Below are 22214 nucleotides of genomic sequence, written 5' to 3' on the forward strand. Positions count from 1 at the left end.
ATGTTTGACCCTAAGGTAAGATTCTTATAAATCTTATGACCCTTTACAATTTTTGTTAAAGAGCAGATCAGTGCTCCAAGGAAATCCTTTTGTGCTTTTATTCCAATGTTCAATTTACAGAAAAACTGAATAATGTCACTTTAGCTTTAGCCAATATGTTCACATATAAAATTTCTTTTACCAGATTAATCTTTCACAAACCTATCACAACTTGCTCAAACCTTCAGCTTTATGCTATCTTAGTTAAAACCTTTAACCCTCTAAACTAGTGTAGCCAAAAAACTCCCACATTTCCATGCCTTCTTATAATCTTTTACCAAAAACACATTTCACTTTCCTGACACACCTTGCATGTAAAACGTTTCTGTAGTAGTCTCCATTGCATGTTACACTGTTAACTCTTAGAAACTTTTGTTGTTGCTGAAAAACCTGATAAGTGAGTGATTTTTAATTTTGTAGCAGGTGTGGAGCCTAAGATACGAGACAAAAATGCAGATAAGTTATCCTTCCATCATAGTGAGGGGGCATCCCTAACTCCGCATGTCCACAGGCCTTACCTAGAATCTAATAGCTCAAAGAATAGCTCTTCTTTGACTTTTCAAAAGTCAAAGAAGCAGTTCATGATCTTAAAGCGTTTAGCAAACCTAATTATCTGACCTAATTTAGACCAAATGTCTTTATTTTACCAATAATTTTTTAAACTGTCCTTCCAAAGCTTACTAAAGTCACGTGAACTAAAAGGCATTAGTTTTTATTTTCCTGACAAAATATTTAAGCGCTTATTTTTAAGCCAATTAATCAGAGCTCCTTCATATATAAATGTCACACACACAACACATATAAATATACAGACAGCAGAAGATCCAGTAGTTGTTACGATTTTTCATTTGGCAGTTTTTAAGTTTCTTAATTGGATTACTGGCTTCAGGGTGGGGTCCTTTGAGGAACAGGGTTAGGAAAACATGCCGTTTCTAGGGCTTAATAAGCAGATACAGATGGAAAGCAAAACAGATCCCCCAAAATTCAGGGTCCTATTTTTATACCGGATCCTCAATTCCCAAAAAAGAAATACTACAGAACAAGACAATGAATGATCTTACTGTGAGTTTCATTGCAAGACAACCCAGAGTCAATCAGCCCATTCTGTGATCAGCCTATCCCCCACGGAAGCCTTATCTCAGTGGTGGGGTGGGGGATGGGGATGTTTCCATACCTTCCAGGTGGCTGAGAGCACGCCTCTCTGATCCAAACGTGCAGAGAGCCAAGTATCCCGCCATAACTGCCACTGGCCATGCCCAAAAGTATATTTGCTACCTAGTTATTACACACCAAAGCTCACTCATAATGTGAAGTAATTTCTGATACTCTAAAAAGTAAAAAATGTCAAATAACGCAATGCAAAACAGAACAGAGCCTTAGCTTTTGAGAGAGATCTATCTGCTTCCAATCCCTGGGTCTTAATGAGGAAAACAGATGTTTTCCCTAAAACGGGGTCTGTGGCACCTCCTCTGTTTTTCTCAAGGAGTCCAAGGCTATTAGAAATTATCTTAGGTCCTCTCACATGTGCATCAAGAGTGGCAAGAAGGCAAAACAGAGAAACAATTCAGTTGACTGTGAAAAAAAAAATACCTTTTTTTTCCCCTTGTCTTGTTTTCCCCTGGTAAAAAAAAATACTTTTTTCTTCATAAGATCCAAGAAGAGAAAAAAACATAAAGACCTTTTAAATATACGTATAGCTTGGATATCTGCTTTTAATTAAGCTAACTTTTAACAAAATCTCTTATTACCAGACTCTAGCCGGGACAAACAGCCAATATTTATGGCCTTTAAACTTTACCAAAGGTAATCTCCCAGGTGAAACCAATAAGCCTTAACTAAGGTTGTGACTTAACCACAGGTGTACGAAGTATTTTCAAACAGGTGGTAAGCAGTTTTTACAAGATTTAGAATCTACAAAGGCAGCTTAGAGAAGGGAAAATTCAAAAAGGAAAGCCAGATGTTGTTCAAGGAGGGGCAGAGAATCAACAAATGGCAAAGCTCACGTAGATATCAAACTAGAAAGGACTAATTCCCTGAGCTGGGAATTGAACCCTGAATGTGGGCTGCCATTGTGAAAAGACAAAACCTTAGCTACTAAGCTTCAGCATTGGGCAGTTTCCATTTCTTTTCTTAGAAGGACCCTAGAGGCAGCCAATTTTGAGCTTGCAAAGGCTTTTAACTGCTCAAGACAATTTTTAGGGCTATGACGTGAACCTCAAAATTCCTGTCCTCTGGATGCTGGAGACTAAGAAGGTATACCACCATATGGTTACAAGGTCAAGCTTCCAAGGGCATAAGACAAGGGGAAAACTTCAGTCAGTTTTTTGTTTGTTTCAGGGACCTGCCGCAAAGTTTGTAACTGACCAGTGTGCCGGACTGGCTTGAACAGCAAGCTTACCGGGTCCTAAGCCCATATTCTATCCTAAGGTACCTCTCTTTATGACAGAAAAATACAGAAAGACAAATTCATAGCACAAATTACACCAGATTTGCTACAGCTTAATACTAGCCACATGAAGGCTTTTGTTTCATTAATTGAAACTTTGCAGAGGAGGCAGTGATTTTTACCATTCCTACAGTCGGCGCGCACAGAGAGAGGCCAGAAGTCTGACTGGTAAGAAATTCTTACCCTTTTGCTGGCATGCCAGGTTTCTGGGTTCCCTTTCCCTGAGTGGCCCTAGCGAATCTACTTGCTGCATCATAGCCCTGGAGGCCAAGCTGCAACACAAAATTAAAAAAAAAAAAATCTCAATTTTGTAAGATGCTGCCCAGTGGGTTGCATGGGGTAACCAAATGAACATTTTCCATTCCAGCCAGAGCAAAATACGTGTGACAAAACATAGACATTAGCCGCTCTGCTTAGCACCCAATATCTAACTGGCAAGGCTCAAACTTGCCCCCGGTTGGGCCTTGTCATCTTTAATCCATTCAAAGTGGGGTGGAGTGACCTCCGACCCGGAATTTCAACATGTGGTCTCTGGGCAAGATGGAAGAGCAGGTAGTCTCAAGTAACAGAAACGATAGGAAAAGAAAAGGAGAGAAAGAGAGAGTAAGAGAGAGAAGCCTGGTCTGAGGCAGGGTGGGGAAGCGGGGAGCTCAGGGAGACCAGAGGAATACCCACCCATTGCAGCAACACTGAATCAAAAGTTCAGGCAGGTACTTGTCAGTCACAAAGGGATCTTTTCCAGCAGTCCCATCAGCTCTCAAGTTGCCCCCTCTGGGGAGAAAAAAGTTCCCCATGTTCCAAGATCCTGTACATGCCTAATCCAGTCACCTGTAGCCATCAGCAAACAGTGCAAGGCAGATTAATCCAGAGAATAGCAGTTAACATTTCATAGTGCCAAATCCATTTCTAACCAAGAGGGATGTTACTGAGGGGGACCTCTGACCCACTGTCTTTCTCTTTTCTTTCTAACCACTGTCTTTCTCTTTTCTTTCTTTTTTTCTCTTTCTCTCTTTCTTCTTTTTGAGATGGAGTTTTTTGCTGTGTTGCCCAGGCTGGAGTTGTGCTTCATCCTAAGGTACCCCTTTTTATGACAGAAAAATACAGAAAGAAAAATTTACAAAATACAGAAAGAGCCCCCTCTGCTGGAGAAGAAATCTCCACCCACTCCACCTCCAGCCCCGACTCCTCAGCCTCTCCCACCCGCTCCGCCGCCACAGCCAGCCCTGCCCTCACCACCCCCGCTGGTGGCCCCCACGTCCAGCTCACCACCGCCACCACCGCTGCCACCTCCACCAGCTATGCCTTCGCCTCCACTGCCACCCCCGCCAGCCGCTGCCCCACCGGCTGCCCCTCCAGGGGAGCCCGCCCCCCATCCCCCGAGGACGCTGAGCTGCCGGACACCTGGCCTCTGCACCTGGCCAAGAAGCAGGAGACGGCGGCCGTGTGTGGAGAGACGGACTAGAAGGCTGACGAGAGTGGCGGAGAGGGCATTTTCCGTGAGCAGGACGAGTTCGTCATCCGCGCAGAGGACATCCTTTCCCTCAAGGTGAGTCCCAGGCTTCTCCAAAAACTGGGCCTGATGGGTTACTTGAGTGTTTGTTGAGCGCCTGCTGGATGAGAGGCTTGTGTTGGGACCTGCGGATCCAGTCATGGCTGAGGGAGAATGGCTGGGCCCACTGGAATTCACAGTCCAATGGGGCCGTTAGAGGTGGCAGTGACCTGCGGGCCTCAGAGGTGTTATTTGCGTATGTGTTTATACACGCATTACCTGTATGTAAGGTAAATACTTTTTTTTTTTTTTGAGACAGAGTCTCGCTCTGTCGCCCAGGCTGGAGTGCAGTGGCGCAGTCTCGGCTCACTGCAACCTCCGCCTCCCGGGTTCACGTCATTCTCCTGCCTCAGCCTCCAGAGTAACTGGGACTACAGGTGCCCACCACCACGCCCGGCTAATTTTTTGTATTTTTAGTAGAGACGGGGTTTCACGGTGTTAGCCAGGATGGTCTTGATCTCCTGACGCACCGCCTTGGCCTCCCAATGTGCTGGGATTATAGGCGTGAGCCACCGCGCCGGCCAGGATTTTTGTTTGTTTGTTTGTTTGTTTGTTTGTGATGGAGTTTCACTCTGTCGCCCAGGCTGGAGTGCAGTGGTGCGATCTCGGCTCACTACAACCTCTGCCTCCCAGGTTCAAGCAATTCTCCTGCCTCAGCCTCCCGAGTAGCTGGGATTACAGGCACATACCACCACACCCGGCTAATTTTGTATTTTTAGTAGAGGTGGGGTTACCATGTTGGCCAGGCTGGTCTCGAACTCCTGACCTCAGGTGATCCACCCGCCTCGGCCTCCCAAAGTGCTGGGATTACAGGCATGAGCCACCGCGCCCAGCCACCCCCTATGGCTTAGAAGGGACTCTAATTTTTCTAAGTTAAGCCTTTAACCCAGGTTTGGTCAAGCGTCGTTGCTTTTTATTAACAGGGGCCTTTAAGCCTCTTTGTCTTAGGAGGGACTCTAACTCTCCTAAGTTGGGCTTCTAACCCAATCCCATCCTTTACCCAGGTAAAACGTACCCCACCACATATCCAGAGTTGGCCAATTGGTGCTGCAGTCTTTTTCTTTGGGTCAGAAGTCTCTTCAGTATAGTCGCTTCATGGTGGCCAGGAAGATGTTACCAGAAAGGAGTCCGGATCCAGACCCCAAGAGAGGGTTCTCAGATCTCACACAAGAAAGAAATCAAAGCAAGTCCGTAGAGTAAAGTGAGAAAGCAAGTTTATTAAGAAAGTAAAGGAAAGGGAAAAAGAGTGGCTACTCCATGGGCAGAGCAGCCCCAAGGGTTGCTGGTTCAAGATTTTTATGGTTATTTCTTGATTATATGCTAAAACGGGTGGATTATTCATGAGTTTTCATGGAGAGGGGAAGAGATTTCCCAGAACTGAGGATCCCTCCCCTTTTTAGTCTATATAGGATAACTTCTGAGTGTTGCCATGGTGTTTGTAAATTGTCATGGCACTGATAGGAGTGTCTTTTAGCATGCTAATGCATTATGATTAGCATAGAATAAGCATTGAGGATGACCAGAGGTCACTTTCATTGCCATCTTGGTTTCAGTGGGTTTCGGCTGGGTTCTTTACCACATCCTGATTTATTAGCAGGGTCTGTGACCTGTATCTTGTGCCAACCTCCTATCTCATCCTGTGACTAAGAATGCCTAACCCTCTGGGAATGTAGCCAAGCAGGTCTCACCCTTATTTTATCCAGCCCCTATTCAAGATGGAGTCACTCTGGTTGGAAGGCCTCTGACACAATGATTTCTTACTTTAATCCTGGGGTGTATGCTTATCCTTTGGGGTGAGGGAGAAGGAGAATAAGGGAGTAATGTCAGTGACTCTGGCCCCCCAGGAACAGCCTTCATGTCCTTCCCTTCTCTACCCACCGTGGAACATGAGAGATCTGGAAAGTTTCAGTGACATTGTCTGGAATATCTGGCCAGCCTGGCTTGGTGTCTATCAGGCTTTATCTTCCTCATCTTCTTGTGGGACCAGGGACCAGGGACCAGACAAGGCCCCAGGGCATCTCCATTCACTCCCAGGGGCACAAACTGATAGAGCCTCCTGGTGGGAGTGGGGATGCTTTGTGCATATGATAGCCCCTTGGCCAGAGATGGCAGTGTAGATTTTCCCAGCTCCCCACTTTCTGATTTCTATTTTTGTCCATGCTCGGGGCTCCCCAACCTTTTAGGCAGAAACAGAGGCATCCAGTGATGGGTTGGGAAGAGTTGCTGGGAACTCGGTGTGTGACTACCACTAGCTCCACTTTCTCCTGTCCTTCTACAGGTTTGCATTCTGAAAGAGTGGCCCAGGCAGGGTGATGTCTAACCCAGGGATGGCAAAGGTGTCCACATGCCATCATTTCTTCCACCAGCACCCATATCACATGATTGCTGCTCCTTTCCATTAGCCCATGTGTGGCCACAGAGCCCTCAGCACAGGGCTCCAGGCAGCTGCTACAGCTGCCCATTGATTGGGGTTGATAGATAGATTTGCTACCCCTGATTTAACTCAAGAAATAAAATGCTAATGGTGAAAAGTCAGACCTGGCAGTTGAGGTTTTACTGAGTAAGAAGACTGCACAGGGGACCCTGAGCAGGGGTCCAAAGGAGATGGGACCTCAGGCCCTCCACCAGAAGCTTAAGAGGGGGTAAAGCTTTTTCAAGGGGTCCCTAGCCCAGAGGCCTCCTGCAGAAGATGAGGTGGAAGTTGCCAGGGATCTCAGTAATGCACAGGAAGAAGCTACCAGGGAAGGAGGACTGAGAGGTGGGATGGGGCAGGTAAGAAAGCAGGGGTGGGTTAGACGAGGCAGAACCTCTGGCTGAGACCCTTCCTTTAATTTTCTTTTTTAAGCTGCTTGGTCAATAAGTTTATTGTTTTTATCTGAATAATCTTATAGAAAATGACTATTTGCCAGACGTGGTGGAACGTGCCTATATTCCTAAGTACTTGGAAGGCCAAGTGGGGGAGGATTGCTTGAGCCCAGGAGTTGGAGGCTACAGTGAGCTATGATTGTGCCACTGCACTCTGACTTGGGTGACAGAGCGAGACTCTGTCTCTGAAAAAAAAAAAGAAAAAGGAAAAAGAAAAGACAAGAAAATAGTTGTTTGGCTTAGCGCTCAGCAGCCTGCTCCTGAGCTCTTAGAAAACTTGCCTTCTGAGCTACTCAGTCTTTCTTCTGGACAGGGGACGTCTTGGGATGGTTCCACCTTTTCTTAACTTCTTCCCCAGGCTTCCTCTCGTGAACTGGATTCTCTTGTTCAGCATCATGAGCTTTCTTACATGTCTCTCCGTCATGACTGGAGTTATGTTGTTCTTTATGTATTGAGAAAATTGTTTCTTGTAAACATCTTCATCTTCTTACATTGGGTAATGCATATAATCTGCGATCTTCTGACCCAGGATGTGCTTCTGCATTGAACTCCCTGCTTTCTGAATTGGAACCAGGGAATTGTTTGGTAACTGTGAGGGATAGAAAACCTCAATCCACACCTCCCTTCAGGGCCCCCCTACCTTTATTTCCGTTGGTAGTTCTGGCAAGTAGCAAGTGAAGGCACCAAGTAACCATCAATGCTTCCCATGTGATACCCATCTCTGCTCACCTCCACTTGACCTTCATAGGTGTTGTCCATGCCAAGACTATTGAGGGGCCTTCGGGTCAGCACAGGCCAGTACAATGTGCTGCATCATAATCTGGCTGGCCAACCTTCATGCTACACTTTAGACATTCATGAACATATGCTGTGCAGACAATCATATTCCCTTCTGTGTGGGCAAAAACCATATGACAAATGATCTCTCTGTTAGTTGCATGAACTATCCTGAATTTTGGTGTGTTCTACTTATTTTCATCCTGGATTACCAAGTGTGTCTGAGCATAGTAATCAGTTTAACCCACTGGTCTTCTAAATGTCATCTGTATCTCTTAAAGTAGGCCTTACTCTTAACAATTTTAACACACTCCATCCTCCGGAACAGAGAGCTGTGTCCATGGCTTGACACAGACCTGCAGCGTGCAAGGGGGGCCAGGCAAGGCGGAAGCCCTACGATCATTCTTTGATCAACTTTTGCAGCCAAGTGAATGCTGTAGGTTGGGGACTCTGAAGATTTGTGATTGGAAAGGGGGAAGGAAAAAGGACAGGGTCCCAGACTGGTCTCTTCCCCCTCTTCCAGGCCTTGATGGGCCACACTTGATATAGGCAGACCACAGCAAAGCTTAGTTTTGGCCAGGAGAACAGCTCCCAGGGCCCAGGAATCCCAGTAAACAGGTGGATCGAGATGGGACAGCCAACCTCAAGGCCCCTCACAGAACCACTCAGCCCAGCTGCCCCTCCAGACGTCAGGGCAGGGCTTCTTCCCGCACTTATTTTCTCCCATTTCCGATGGCAAACTGCTTTGCAGATGCCTCTAAAGGCCATCCCCAGCCCAGGAAGCCATGTATGGTAATACCTACATGGAAACAGACATCTTCTCTGCAGGAAAGTGCAGGTTTGGGGTTGGAGCGATAGTAAGAAGTTACATGAGTGAGCTGGAGCTTAGAAAATAAAGTTCTAAAGACAGACCAGTCAGGGAGGGGAAGGTCCTGCCCCAGAAACAACATCAGCAGAGGCATTCACTCATTCAATATTTATAAAGCACTTACTATGTGTTCTATTCTAGGTGGTGGGGATTTGATAGAAGGAAAAGAGTGTGTGTGTGTGTGTGTGTGTGTGTGTGTGTGCGGTGGAGAGGATAGCCAATAAATAAATGAACTAACACATATATAACATGTTAGGTGGAGGAAAAGTTATGGAGAAATACACAGGTAAGAGGAATAGTGAGTCTGGGGGTGGGGTAGAGATGGGGGTGATTACTTTGCAAAGTAGTCAGGGAAGGTCTTAAAGTATTATTCAAGTAGTGAACTCAGTGAAGGAGGACATGAGCTGCGTGACAACCCATGAGAAGAGGAATTTAGAGAGAAGAGAGTTCCAGAACAAAGGACCTGAGGTCAGAGTGTTCTCAGGGTGTTGGGGATCATCCAGGAGGCTGGCATGGCTGGGGTGAATGAGTGGTCAGGAGCCTGAGGTGAGTTGAAGTCAGAGAGGTAGCATGGGCACAGAGAATAAGGGCCTTGTGGCTCATTGCAAGGATTTTGCCTTTTATTTGGAGCAAATTTGGGAGCCACTGGAGGAGTTTGAGCAGAAGAGTGACATATGACTTCAGTTGGAAAAGGATCCTTCTGGCTGCTGTGTTGTGAATACTACAGGGGAGATGCAGAACCAGGGAGGGCAGGTAGGTCACTGCAACAGGGCAGGCAAAAGCTGGCTTAAAAAAATGCTTCAGGCTGGGCATGGGGGCTCACACCTGTAATCCCAGCACTTTGGGAGGCCAAGGCTGGCAGATCACGAGGTCAGGAGCTCGAGACCAGCCTGGCCAACATGGTGAAACCCCGTCTCTACTAAAATACAAAAAAATTAGCTGGGTGTGGTGGTGCGTGCCTGTAATCCCAGCTACCTGGGAGGCTGAGGCAGGAGAATTGCTTGAACCCGGGAGGCAGAGGTTGCAGTGAGCCAAGATGGCGCCACTGCACTCCAGCCTGGGGGACAGAGCGAGACTCCGTCTCAAAAAACAAACAACAAAAAACTCTTCATCCAGTGGTATGAGGCCCCCCACACTGTCAGGTAGAAATCTTGGCTTCCTTAAACAAACCTTTATTGTTTCCCTTATTGGAAGTATTCCTTCCTTGGTTTCTAAAACACCGCAGAGCCCTGAGACACAACATTTAACATAATCATAGTAATGCTGAATTACAAGCCAACTCAAAATTCAGTGACTTAAGGCAACAATCATTCGCTCTCACTCCCATATCTGTGGGTCTGCTGGGGTTCAGCTGATCTAGGCTGGGCTCAGCTGGTTCTTCTTGAACCAGCAGGTTCCATAAAATGTATTCCCTGGGTCACCTGAGGTCAGGAGTTCCAGACCAGCCTGGCCAACATGGTGAAACCCTGTCTTTACTAAAAATATGAAAAAAATTAGCCAAGAATGGTGGCGGACGCCTGTAATCCCAGTTACTCAGGAGGCTGAGGGAGGAGAATCACTTGAACCCAGGAGGCGGAAATTGCAGTGAGTGGAGATCAAGCCATTGCACTCCAGCCTGGGTGACAAGAGTGAAACTCGGTCTCAGGCTGGGCGCAGTAGCTCACGCCTATAATCTCAGCACTTTGGGAGGCCGAGGCAGGTGGGTCACGAGGTCAGAAGTTCGAGACCAGCCTGGCCAAGATGGTGAAACCCCATCTGTACTAAAAACACAAAAATTAGCCGGGCGCGGTGGTGGGCACCTGTAATCCCAGCTACTCGGGAGGCTGAGGCAGGAGAATTACTTGAACCCAGGAGGTAGAGGTTGCAGTGAGCCGAGATCACGCCACTGCACTCTAGCCTGGGTGACAGAGCAAGACTCTGTCTCAAAAAAAAAAAAAAAAAAAAAAAAAAGCAAAACTTGGTCTCAAAACAAAACAAAAACACATTCTCGTAGGATTGGTAGAAGGATAAGCACAGATTCCAAGTCTGTGCTTTCATCATGTCTGTTAGCATCATTAGCCAAAATAAGTCACATACCAACCCCGAAGTTAAGGGGCAGAGAAATATACTCTGCCTCTAGTGGAAGAAACTGCAGACTCTTTGATTGTGGATATAGGGAGGGTGATGAATTGGAGCCAGTAACTCAATCTACCACAGTTATTATGTTTAATAACAAGATATGCTTTGGTTGCTCTGATCCATTTATTCTGGCTGTGGGAAAAAAAGCACCATATGCTGGTTGCTGATTGAGAGCATGTACAGTATCCTGCGAGATAGAACCTTACCCACTCGAAGTTTTATTTCCAAGTTGTTAATGTCACACCTGCAGGACATCCCACCATTCCACAAGTCTGGCTGCTTCTGGGTGATGGAGAACAGGATAAAACTGGTGAATCCCATGAATAACAGGCCCTTTCTTTCTTTATTTTACTGTAGCACTCTCCCTAGATGTCTGTATGGTTAATCTTCACTCACCTCATTCAAGACTTTGCTTAAGTGTAACCTTCTCAAAAAGGCCCACTATGACCATCCTCATTAAAACTGCAACCTCTGCATCCCCAGTTCCCCTTATTCTACTCACTTTTTCCCCATAGCACCTTGTACTACTATTAGTCTATATAATTAAATTATATATTATGCTTATTGTTTATTTTCTGGGCCCCACCCTGAATATAATATTTATTATCTTTGCCCCACTCAGAGTGTTTGTGATCAAGAAGGGGAAAGGAAAAGATTATTGTTTTGTCCGTTTTGTGTTTGGCATATAGTAGGCACTCAATAAATATATGTTAATTGAATGAATGAATGAGGAGTTCTTTTCTAGAAGCAATATTATATGGGATACAGTCACTGTGATTAAGAAATTCCACAAATCCATGGGTACCAGTACTGGCACAGGCATGGAAGGCAAGGAAATAAAATTCAAATTCAGAATATCTATTCCAGTGAGGGCCAATCACCCCTGCCTCCATGCTTTTGAAGGGGTCTCATGTACCTGTCACCAGATAGCTGGTTCATTTTCTCTGGTTAACGGCACCATATCAGGGCTTAGATTGGCCATCACGCTAGCAGGCTCACTGCTGGAGTACACTGCTGTATACCATAAGTGTCAATAGGCCAATCAGCCTTGCTAAGTGGGAAGTCCATGTCATTGGCCCCAGGCTTAGTCCCTACCACTGTCACATGGTGCTTTGTTCATGAGCCCCCTGAGCAAGCACTAGGGTGGCCAGGGAGACAGGCTGACTGACATCTATGGGGGTGTCATCCTCTCTAAGTGATTACAAGAGCTTCTCTTGTAGCTTTTGTGAAGTGCCTGCGGGACATTGAGGGAGGTCTTGGCCCATCTCCTGGGCTCAGTTCCTCTTTGGCTTTGAAGCCCAGTAAATAGCTAATTCTATATGTTGTCATACTGGGTACTGGCCATTATTACATTGTCACAATGGGACTGTGCAAGTGTGCTGTCTCAGTTTCACATAGCTTCTGCAGGAAGATGGTACTAATTGTGTAGTAAGAAACTGTGTTTATAACCTGGATATTAGATCAAGATGGTGAAGATTGCTTCACATTTTTACAACATATCAGGGTGATATGTTGCAAATGTAAGAAACTTGGTAAACCCCATGTGGGATTTCCTCTATCTAGTAGGCTTGCACCAACCCAAAATATTCCTTGTGAGGAAACTGGAAGGTTACAGAAGCAACACTCATTGAAAATCCCCCCAATCTTATGTCCTCTGTAATGCTTTTCTGAAAATGCATCATCTGATCATATTGCAGTAAATGCAACTGCTATATGATTTAAACGTTCATTTCTCTAAGCCTCAAACCCGGTCCAATTCCATTTATGTAGTGTCCAACCTAGGGCTTGGTTTAAGTGAGGAGAGGTCAAGAGTAAGACAAGATCTCTTCCGGATTTTGAGGTGTCCTAACACCCATTATTTGCAAATGAGCTTAAGTCCTTTCAGGGACCACCCCAGCAGAACATGGTGTCCAGAAGAGTCAGAGGAGCTAATTATTGGATTCAATCACAGACCAGTGCAGGGATCTTGGAGTCCAAAATACACTCTTCTTGGGCAGGGAAGGGGAGAGGCTGCCCGCTACTGTAACTGGCAAAAGGGTTTGGCTGCTTGCCACTTGTAAAAAGAAGCCAGTATAATGAGAATGAAGTGTGATAAAAAGAGAGCAAGATTTTATTATCCATGCTAGATAGAGGAGAAGTGGATGTAATTCTTTCCAAAGATTTCCACTTTATGATTTGTAGAGGAAACACGGGGTCTTTTAAAGACAGGGTTCAGAATGCAGAAGAGGCAGGGGGCTAGGAGGTGTCAGGTGGGGTGAGCCACTCCAATGGGTTGTCTTGAATTATTGTTCCATCTGGTGAAGGGGCCAGCACCATTGTGGCTGAAAGTGTCTGGTCCGTATCAGGATCTGGTCCCTGAAGCTTCTAAGGCAACATATTGACCAGATAAGTGAGTATGATGTGTGTTTAACAAGCATCTAGGTAAATACATGTGCGAAAGGTGTGGGAGCGCAGAATGGGAAAAGAAAGGGAGTGGAGGTTTACAGCATATTCCAAAGCTGTGTTTCGAGATGAAAGGAAACACATATGCAGTTTGTCTCAAAGTTATATCTTGAGACTGGGGAGAAAGGAGGCAAGAAAACAAAGTTTTAAAATGTGGTTTGAAGCCAAGCTCCTCAGTTACGCTATTAAATGCAATCCATGCTATTAAGACAGAAATTGTGGTAGAGCTAGGATCTAGTAATGCTACCCTTTCCTGCCTACTGCCAGTCTTGGAAATTCTTGCCCCCAGCCTGGCCCTCACCCTTCACCCTAATGCTACCATCATCCATCCGCCCCACTCTACCAGTCCCAGTGCTTCTGCAGTACCAAGTCCCACAGCCCCATACCAGCTGTAATGGCTCGAGCTTTCCCTTCTTCACTTTTGCTCCTGCTGGTGCTGTGACTGCTGCATGGTTCCACTTGTCCTGTCCATTGATGCAGCCTTTGGAAACGCCAACTTGAAAAATAAGCGAATGGCAAAAAAATCCTCCTCCTTTCCCACCTCATCACTATGTTTACCCAGTTCATAATTCACCTTAAGGTCATGGCAAAGAGAGAGGGTGGGGAAAAAGTACAAATGGAGTGATGGCAGACAAAACAAACAAACACAAACAAACAAACAAAATGAGCCCTCTAGTCATTGCTGCAGCCTGTTGGCCAGGAGATAGGGGTCTGCTTAGCTTAGCTAGTAGAGGTGGTGCTTGGAGGAGCTATAGCATGCACCACCCCACTCCCGCCGAATTTTTTTTTTTTTTTTTTTTTTTTTTTTGAGACAGAGTCTGGCTCTGTTACCCAGGCTGGAGTGCAATGGTGCGGTCTCGGCTCACTGCAACCTCTGCCTTTGGGTTCAGGCGATTCTTCTGCCTCAGCCTCCCGAGTAGCTGGGATTACAGGCACTGCCACCAAGCCTGGCAAATTTTTGTATTTTAGTAGAGATGGGGTTTCACCCTGTTGGCCAGGCTGGTCTCGAACTCCTGACCTCAAGTGATCCACCTGCCTTGGCCTCTCAAAGTGCTGGGATTACAGGCGTGAGCCACGTCGCCCGGCAGCACGCTGACTTTTTCCACAGAACAGCATAGCATTAGTAAATCCTGCCTGCAGAGCATACAGGTCTTAGACACAGAAGTTTCTGTATATCCCCCTCCCCAGCTGAGACTTTAACCCCCAAATGTCCAGGGCCCAGCCACACCAGACATGTTGGGATGAGCTCATTACATAAAAACTTGGTGAATTTGCAAGAGATGGGACCCCTGGGGCTGCTCTGCCCTAGAGTTTATGGCCTTCACATCTTGAACACCCCTCAGAGGATTTCTCCCTGGATGAACAATCCATAGCCTGTGGTTTATTATGGGTTAGGGTTAGGGCTTTTGCACCACCTGGGGGATAGACAATGAAGGCAACTGCCCTCTTCCATCAATCTCAAAGTAAATACAAATGGGAAGGTTTGTGGTTTCCTCAGCAAGCAGAGCTCTGTGAAGCTAGGTGGCACCACAGGATCTACTTCAAACAAGACCCCAATGTTGGTCGGGCGTGGTAGTTCATGCCTATAATCCCAGCACTTTGGGAGATGGAGGCGGGAGGATTGCTTGATCCAAGGAGTTTAAGACCAGCCTGAGCTGGTTTCTACAAAAAATACAAAAAACAGCCAGGCATGGTGGTGCATGCTTGTAGTCCCAGCTACTCGGGAGGCTGAGGTGGGAGGACCACTTGAGCCCAGGAGGTCAAGGCTGCAGTGAGCCATGATAGTGCTACTGCACTCCAGCCTCAGCGACAGAGCAAGACCTTGTCTCAAAAAAACAAAACAAAACAAAAAACCCGGTGAGCTCTGCAGCCTCATGATAGGTGCCTGGGTTGGTTGAGTGGTTGGAGCACAGAAAACCCTAGATTGGCTCATTCATTATCTACGTTGTAGGGCCAGAGACTCTGGTTTGAAATAATAGAAATCTCTTGACTTCTTAATATATGACTTAGGTGAGTACATGCTTATCAGAAGGACAGTTCTCCATCCATCCTGGGGGATTCCCATTCAGCTGTGGCAGATTAGCAGAGTCACTGTCATTTCTTATACTTTTCTCTATGATTTCATAGGATACCACTGTATACCACTGTGGTGACTTCCCCTTCACTGTTTTCTTTATGTTTTATTCTTTTCTTTCAGTGTTTAATTTTGACATAATTTCAGACTTAAAGTTACATGGCTGAGCACAGTGGCTCATGCCTATAATCCCAGCACTTCAGAAGGCTGGGGCAAGAGGATCACTTGAGCTCAGGAGTTTGAGACCAGCTTGGGCAATGTGGAGAGACCCCGTCACTACAAAAAAATTAAAAAATTTGCCCAGCATGGTGGTGCACACTTGTGATCCCAGCTCTTCAGGAGGATGAGGCAAGAGGATCTCTTAAGCCCAGAAGTTTCAGGCTGCAGTGAACTGTGATCACGCCACTGCACTCCAGCCTGACAAACAGAGCGAGACCCTGTCTCATAAAAACAAAAAGAAAGAAAAGTTGCAAAAATAGTACCAAGATTTCCTGTATACCCTTCACCCACATTCCCGAAATGCTAACATTTTACAACATTTTTCTTAATCCTCTCTGTGTCTGTCTTTCTCTGACACACACACACATACACACACATATACCCCACATATTATGTTTGTTCATAGCATATGGGAATAAGTTGCAGACATCTTAAATACTTCAGTGAATTTTCTAAAATAAAGGTATTCTTTAAAATAGCCTCAGTACAATAGTCACATTCAGGAAATGAGCATTAATACAGTACTATTATCTAATCTAGAGGCAAAACTGGCTACATAATTGTAGGGGTACCCAGTGCAAAGTAAAAATGTGGAGCTCCTTGTTCAAAGAAACAGGGGAAAACATCACTAAAGGTACTCAAATAAAAGGCTTTTTTCTTTCTTGCAGAGTCTCTCTGTCTCTAGACCTCTCATGGAGCTTTTTATTTATTGTTTCTGTCACTCTCCCTCAGGCACGGGGATAGTTGTGGAGCAGTGCAGACCCTCAGAACTACCTAGGGTCCCTGACCGCTACTTGGTGGTGTGTCCTGGAGGGTTCCGCTTGCTGCTGAATTCCTCCTCATGCCAGCTGCCAGACTGAAGCTCTGTGACCCAGCTAGGGGTGGGAAATCAATCTTCCTTGTCCATAGGTCCATTGCACCAACCCATGGATGGGCAGTCCCCAAGCGATTGCAACCTCTGTGCTGAGACATGCTCAGTACAGGATCAGGATAGGTGAGAGGCTGGCTCCTGCCAAGTCACCAGTTGAATGTATTGTGCTGCTGCCAGCCTGGGACTGGGACAGTAATTGGCACTCCCTGAAATGCCACAGGATGTGCACACCTAACTCTGACCCTTCCTGCACCCTTTCCCAAGCCCCCACTGGGAGTGGTTGGCAACGGTAGAACATGAGCCTCCCCTTGCCAATGTGATTCAACTGTCATCTGCATAGCAGCAGTCAGGGGGCAAAGGTGGAAAGGGGCGGGCTGAGCAGAGCCATGGTGTCAGTGGGTGGAGGGCGAGTTGCTGAGAACCCATCCCAGGGAGGCAGCAAGAGGTGGCACTGCTCTTGAGTCCGGACGCCTAGCTCCTGGAGCATGCACCATCGTCTAATTAACCTTCACTTACAAACACAAATTTAAATAACTGAGAATTTTAAGACAATGACCACAGGGAATTACATCCTGGGTGCAGGGTCCTTCTGTGTCCAGGGCCCTGTGTGATTTGGGTGCATGCCTACAAAGCCCATCTCTAGACCTTATTCGGATTCTACAAATTGTCTCAATAATGTCCTTTACAACAAAAGAAAATCTTGGATCCTGTGTTGCATTTAGCTGTCACACCTCTTTAATCTTCTTTCTTTTTCCTTTTTAAAATTACTTAGTTCAGGAGCAGATCTTCCTTTAATCTTCTTTCATCTGGAAAAGTTTCTCAATCTTTTTTTGTCTTTCATGACATTAACATTTTGGACGATTAAAGGCCATGTATTTTACAGACTGTCTCTCAATTGAGTTTATCTGCTATTTCTTCACAATTAAATTCATGTTATGCGTTTCTGGCAGGAATACTATAGAAAAGATACTGTGTTCTTTGTGGTGGATCATACCACGAGGCACATGCTGTTGATTTGTTTTGTTACTAATGGTGTTAACTTTGACTACTTGAGTAAGATGGTGGCTGCCTATTTTCCCATTTGCAATAAATAAGTATTTGTGGGAAGATACTTTGGATCTATGCAAAAATATTATTACTTCTCAAAATTTTACCCACTAGTTTTAGCATACATTGATGATTCTTGCCTAAATCAATGATTATTTAATGGTTGCTAGATGATGTTTTCCTTTTATTTTTTTCTTTTATTTATGTTTTTTGTAGAGACGGTCTCGTTATATTGCTCAGGCTTGTCTTGAACTCCCAGCCTCAAGAGTTCCTCCCACCTCGGCATCCCAAAGTGCTGGGATTACATGTGTGAACCATCATGCCCAGCTGTTAAATGATGATTTTCTAATTCTATCCTTGACCCCTTGTCTACCTTTACTGAGCCCTTTTTGGCTTCCTATCCTTGCCTACGATGTGACATTTTGATGTGTTCCATCTACTCTTCTGAGCCTGTGGGCACGATGCGGGTAGGGGAGGTTTGGGACTCTGATCTCTCTGAGGTTTGGGTTAAATGTCTTAAGCCAGGGTTTACTCCATTAGTTAATGGAGTGTCTTACTCCCGAGAGGGCATTAAGCTTCACTTTCCCACCATCCTTCTTTCTCTCCTTCCTTCCTTCTATAATTCAGAGACTATGAGAATCATGGCTCTGACTCATAGCTTAACACTTTAACTCTAAAAAAGAAATCCCAGGTCCCTCTTTTCCTCCATGGTATCATGTCTACAAAACTAATCTACAAGTACTTGTTGAGTACTTATTCTGTGCATACCGTTTTGCTTGGCTCACTGTAGAGAAGAAATGTGTAAGGCAAAGTCACTGCTTTCAAGAACCCACAGCTGTAAACATGAAGAGTAGAAGCAGGCAGGCCTGGAATATCTCTGTGTAGTCTACATGGAGAGGTCCAGGGGATTTTATGGGATGGGGAGGTAAATAGGTCATGGCAGAGCTGAACTTTAATGATAGCAAACTGATTAAAAAGCATTGGCTCTAGAATTAGACTTTGATTCCAACACCATCTTCATTCCTTCCTAATTTGTTATTCTGGGCAAGTAATTTATCTTTCTGACCTTCAACTTTTTCATTTGTAAGATACAGATATTAATAGAATCTTCTTCTCAGGGCTATTGCGAATATTAAATGAGATAATGCATGCAAAGCACTTAGGTTGGTTCCTGACATATCCTAAGTGTTTCATAAACAGTAGTTATTAAAATCTTAAAGGAAGGTATTATGTGTCAAAAGCTTTTCAAATGCATGTCCACAGTTGACCCAGAAATTCCACTTAGAATCTATCATGAGTAAACAACCAGAAATACCCATAGTGATTACTTACTATATCGAGAAAACCTCAACAACCTTTAACATTTAACATTAACATGTAACCATTGAAGCTTGTTTAAATAAATGGTGATCTCTTTATGCAAGTAAAGCTCTACACATATTAGCAATTATGTTACAGAATATTTAATGATACAAGAAAATCTTTACCTAATATTGTCAACTGGGTAAATCTATGAATCTGCATTAATATATATTCTTAAACTGTTCTCTATCCCATATATTCTTTCATTCTTCCCAGAAACATTTTTAAAGGACTTGAGGAGCTTGCCACTGCCCCAAGGGGCATTTGGAAGATTTTTCTCTAGCAAGTGTGAATTAAAAAATTTAATGGGACCTCAATATTATGTCAGGAGGGTTCTTCCCAGTGCTCATGTAGCATATCTGGCACACACTAGCCTCTGGTACACTTTGTGAGAGTTAAGTTTATCTGTTTGTCTTTGCATGCCAGCAACTTTTATAACACAAGAGCTCTCAGAATCCAGACATGGTGATTTAGAACTACTGGGTATTTGTACTGATAGGGACCAGGCACTATGAGCCTTAAGCTTTCACCTGTGAATAAATCTCAGGGAAGAAGGAGAGGAGAGGGAAGAGACCAAAGAATCGACATTTTCTCCCCACAGTGTGGCCTTTTTATTGATTTAAAGAGAAGAGACGTGAAGCTGCAAAACTTTTTTGGTAGCAAAGCAGGGTGTTTTTATCAGTTCTTATTTTTTGCTTTGAATTCTCAATGCCACTACCTCTGTCCAAGCTTACAATCCGTCATAACCAGATGATGGTAAAGCTGCCCACCCTGTTTCTCTAAACAAATCTTCCCAATTCTAGAACTGAGACTTTTTTTTTTTTTGAGACAGAGTCTCACTTTGTCTCTCAAGCTGGAGTGCAGTGGCATGAATTTGGCTTACTGCAACCTCCGCTTCTGGGTTCAAGTGACTCTTATGCCTCAGCCACCCAAGTAGCTGGCATTACAGGTGTGCACCACCATGCCTGGCTAACTTTTTTGTATTTTTACTAGGTTTCACCATGTTGGCCAGGCTGATCTTGAACTCTTGGCCTCAAGTGATCTGCCCACATTTGCCTCCCAAAGTGCTGAGATTACAGGTGTGAGCCACCACTCCCAGCCAAGAACTGAGACTTTAAGCTCTCACTGCATTTGACTCTGGGCAAGTTGCTCCTGGTGGCAGTCAGACTTCTCAGATGACTCCAATGACCTCCACTTCCTGGTTTTTATGCCTTTGTGTGTTCTCCTCCTCGAGTGTGGACTGAACCTAGTGACTTGATTCTAATGAGTAGTGATGTCATGGAAAATGTTGGGACGTCACTTCTGAGATTAGGTTACAAAAGACTATGACTACAATAACTTATTGTATATTTCAAAATAGCTAGAAGAAAAACTTTGGAATGTTCCCAACACAAAGAAATGATAACTGCCTTGGGTGATGGATATGCCAGTTATTCTGATTTGATTATTATACATTGTGTGCATGTATCAAAATATCAAATGCCCCCCATAAATATGTATAACAATTATGTATTAATAAAAAAAAGACTGACTGGGCTTGGTGGCTTACACCTGTAATCCCAGCACTTTGGGACGCCGAGGCAGGTGGATCACCTGAGGTCAGGAGTTCGAGACCAGCCTGGTTAACATGGTGAAACCCCATCTCTACTAAAAATACCAAAAGTAGCCAGGCATGGTGGCACATGCCTGTAATCCCAGCTACTCGGGAGGCTGAGGCAGGAGAATCGCTTGAACCTGGAAGGTGGAGGTTGCAGTGAACCGAGATTGCACCACTACACTCTAGCCTGGGTGACAGAGTGAGTGAGACTCCGTCTAAAAACAAAAGACTGTGACTTCTACCTTCTATTCAGTCTCTCTGGAGCTTCTTGCTTGCTCACTCTGATAAAGCAATCTATAGGTTATGAGCTGCCCTCTGGAAGGACCCACTGACCAACGAACTGGAAGTGACCTGCAAGCAACTGAATCCTGCCAGCAACCATATAAGTGGGCTTGGAAGTGCATGCTTCCCTAGTTGAGCCCCAGCCAGCCAACAATTAGACTTCATCCCTGTAGAAGACCCTGATCCACAGGACTAGTTCTGTAGTCCTTGTGTCCTGCCTCTTCCCTCACCTCCTGTGAGAGTTCCCCTGAATTCCTGCCCTGGTGGTACAGAATGGTGTATCCAGTCTGCCCCCACTGCAACAGAACTGCCTTCTCTTTGGGAATTTGTTTCTTCACAGAATCACAGGATGTTATTTTCAAAGGGTGTCTGTGCTTGTGTTTAACCTTGTGCTATTTTATAATAATGAACCATTGGAAACCAAGTAAACTAAGTAAATTACAATGCTTGGTAGGTCAGAATATTATGTAGCCATTAACAATGACACCAGAGAATATTCACCCACCTGGGAAAAAGTTTATAATATAATGCTAAGTAAAAGTCTTGGTAGAAAAAAAAAAACGCTGGTAGAAAATAGTGAAAATAGTACACACTCTCTCTCCCTCCTTCTCTCTCTCTCTCTATATATATATATACACACACACTATATAGAGAGAGTATATACTTATTGTATATGAGTACTATTTTTACTATTTTCATATATATAAACATTTATAATAGCATATATAAATTTATACAAAAATATATAGCATTATATACTATATATAAAGTATATATACTTTATATGCATATATAAAGTAATTAAAAGCCTATGGAGAGGATATTACTTTGAGATGCTAATTGGAGCTTTATACCTGTAGATCTACTTCTCTTTGGTCTTTCTCTCACTTCTGGCACCTGGACATTCTACCTCATGCCTGGGGAGGAGACAGGACAGCATTATACAGCTCGCAGAATATTTAAATTCTTGGCTTGTAGAGTTCAAAAGAGAAGGTTCAGATCTAAGACAAAGGGCTTATTTGGAGATAACTGAGCAATTAAGGGTATCAGGGATCTTAGAGATCATTAGACCATCGGAGCTAGAACCTTAATTTTGGGAAGAAAGTGTTTTAATTACATCAGAGTGAATGCAGATCACGAGATGAAAGAATATATGAAAAACCAGAATCAGGTTTTAACAACCCCTTGCTTCCTTTCTGCTCCCCGCCATGTATAAAATTCTCCCCATTGGAGGTTTAAAGAAGAGAGTTAGAAGGGAACCAGAGGAAATGAATGGTGGTTTGGGATCCTGAGAAGGGGGTTCTTAGGCCAATAGGGTACCAGGTATATTTGGGAATCAAGAGAAATGACCACAGCCAGGGTATACTTCCACAACTAGGAAGTATGAATTGAGGAACCACTAGTTAGAACTGAGAACCCTTGCAGGGTAGATCAGAAATTGGAACATGGGAGGTCTATGTATAGGGTTTTTAGAGGGTCCCTTTGAGTTTCCTATAGTCCTAGGTGGTACAGAGCAGTGAGGTATTTCTTGAGCTCTAAGGAGCAGCAGTGAGGTATTTCTTGAGTTCTATGGGGCATATAAGTCACTGAGTGAGCTCTCATCAAATGAGGAGGATGCAACAGTTACCTGCCAGAAAAATATCTGGCAGGAATAAAAC

At 44.6% G+C, this 22214-nt stretch overlaps 1 long non-coding RNA gene and 1 pseudogene across 1 annotated transcript in view; one reads left to right on the top strand and one right to left on the bottom strand.

Annotated features, from left to right (window-relative positions):
* The first annotated feature begins 3932 nt into the window (after positions 1-3932).
* Positions 3933-22214, top strand: part of LOC107987282 (uncharacterized) — a 52776-nt gene continuing 34494 nt past the window's right edge. The window contains exon 1 of the long non-coding RNA XR_001754641.3: positions 3933-4031. This is a non-coding gene — a long non-coding RNA (uncharacterized LOC107987282). The remainder of the gene's footprint in view (positions 4032-22214) is intronic.
* RPL5P2 (ribosomal protein L5 pseudogene 2) lies at positions 7139-7992 on the bottom strand (annotated as a pseudogene).

Source organism: Homo sapiens, chromosome 20, assembly GCF_000001405.40.
Source record: "Homo sapiens chromosome 20, GRCh38.p14 Primary Assembly".
Taxonomy (NCBI): domain Eukaryota; kingdom Metazoa; phylum Chordata; class Mammalia; order Primates; family Hominidae; genus Homo; species Homo sapiens.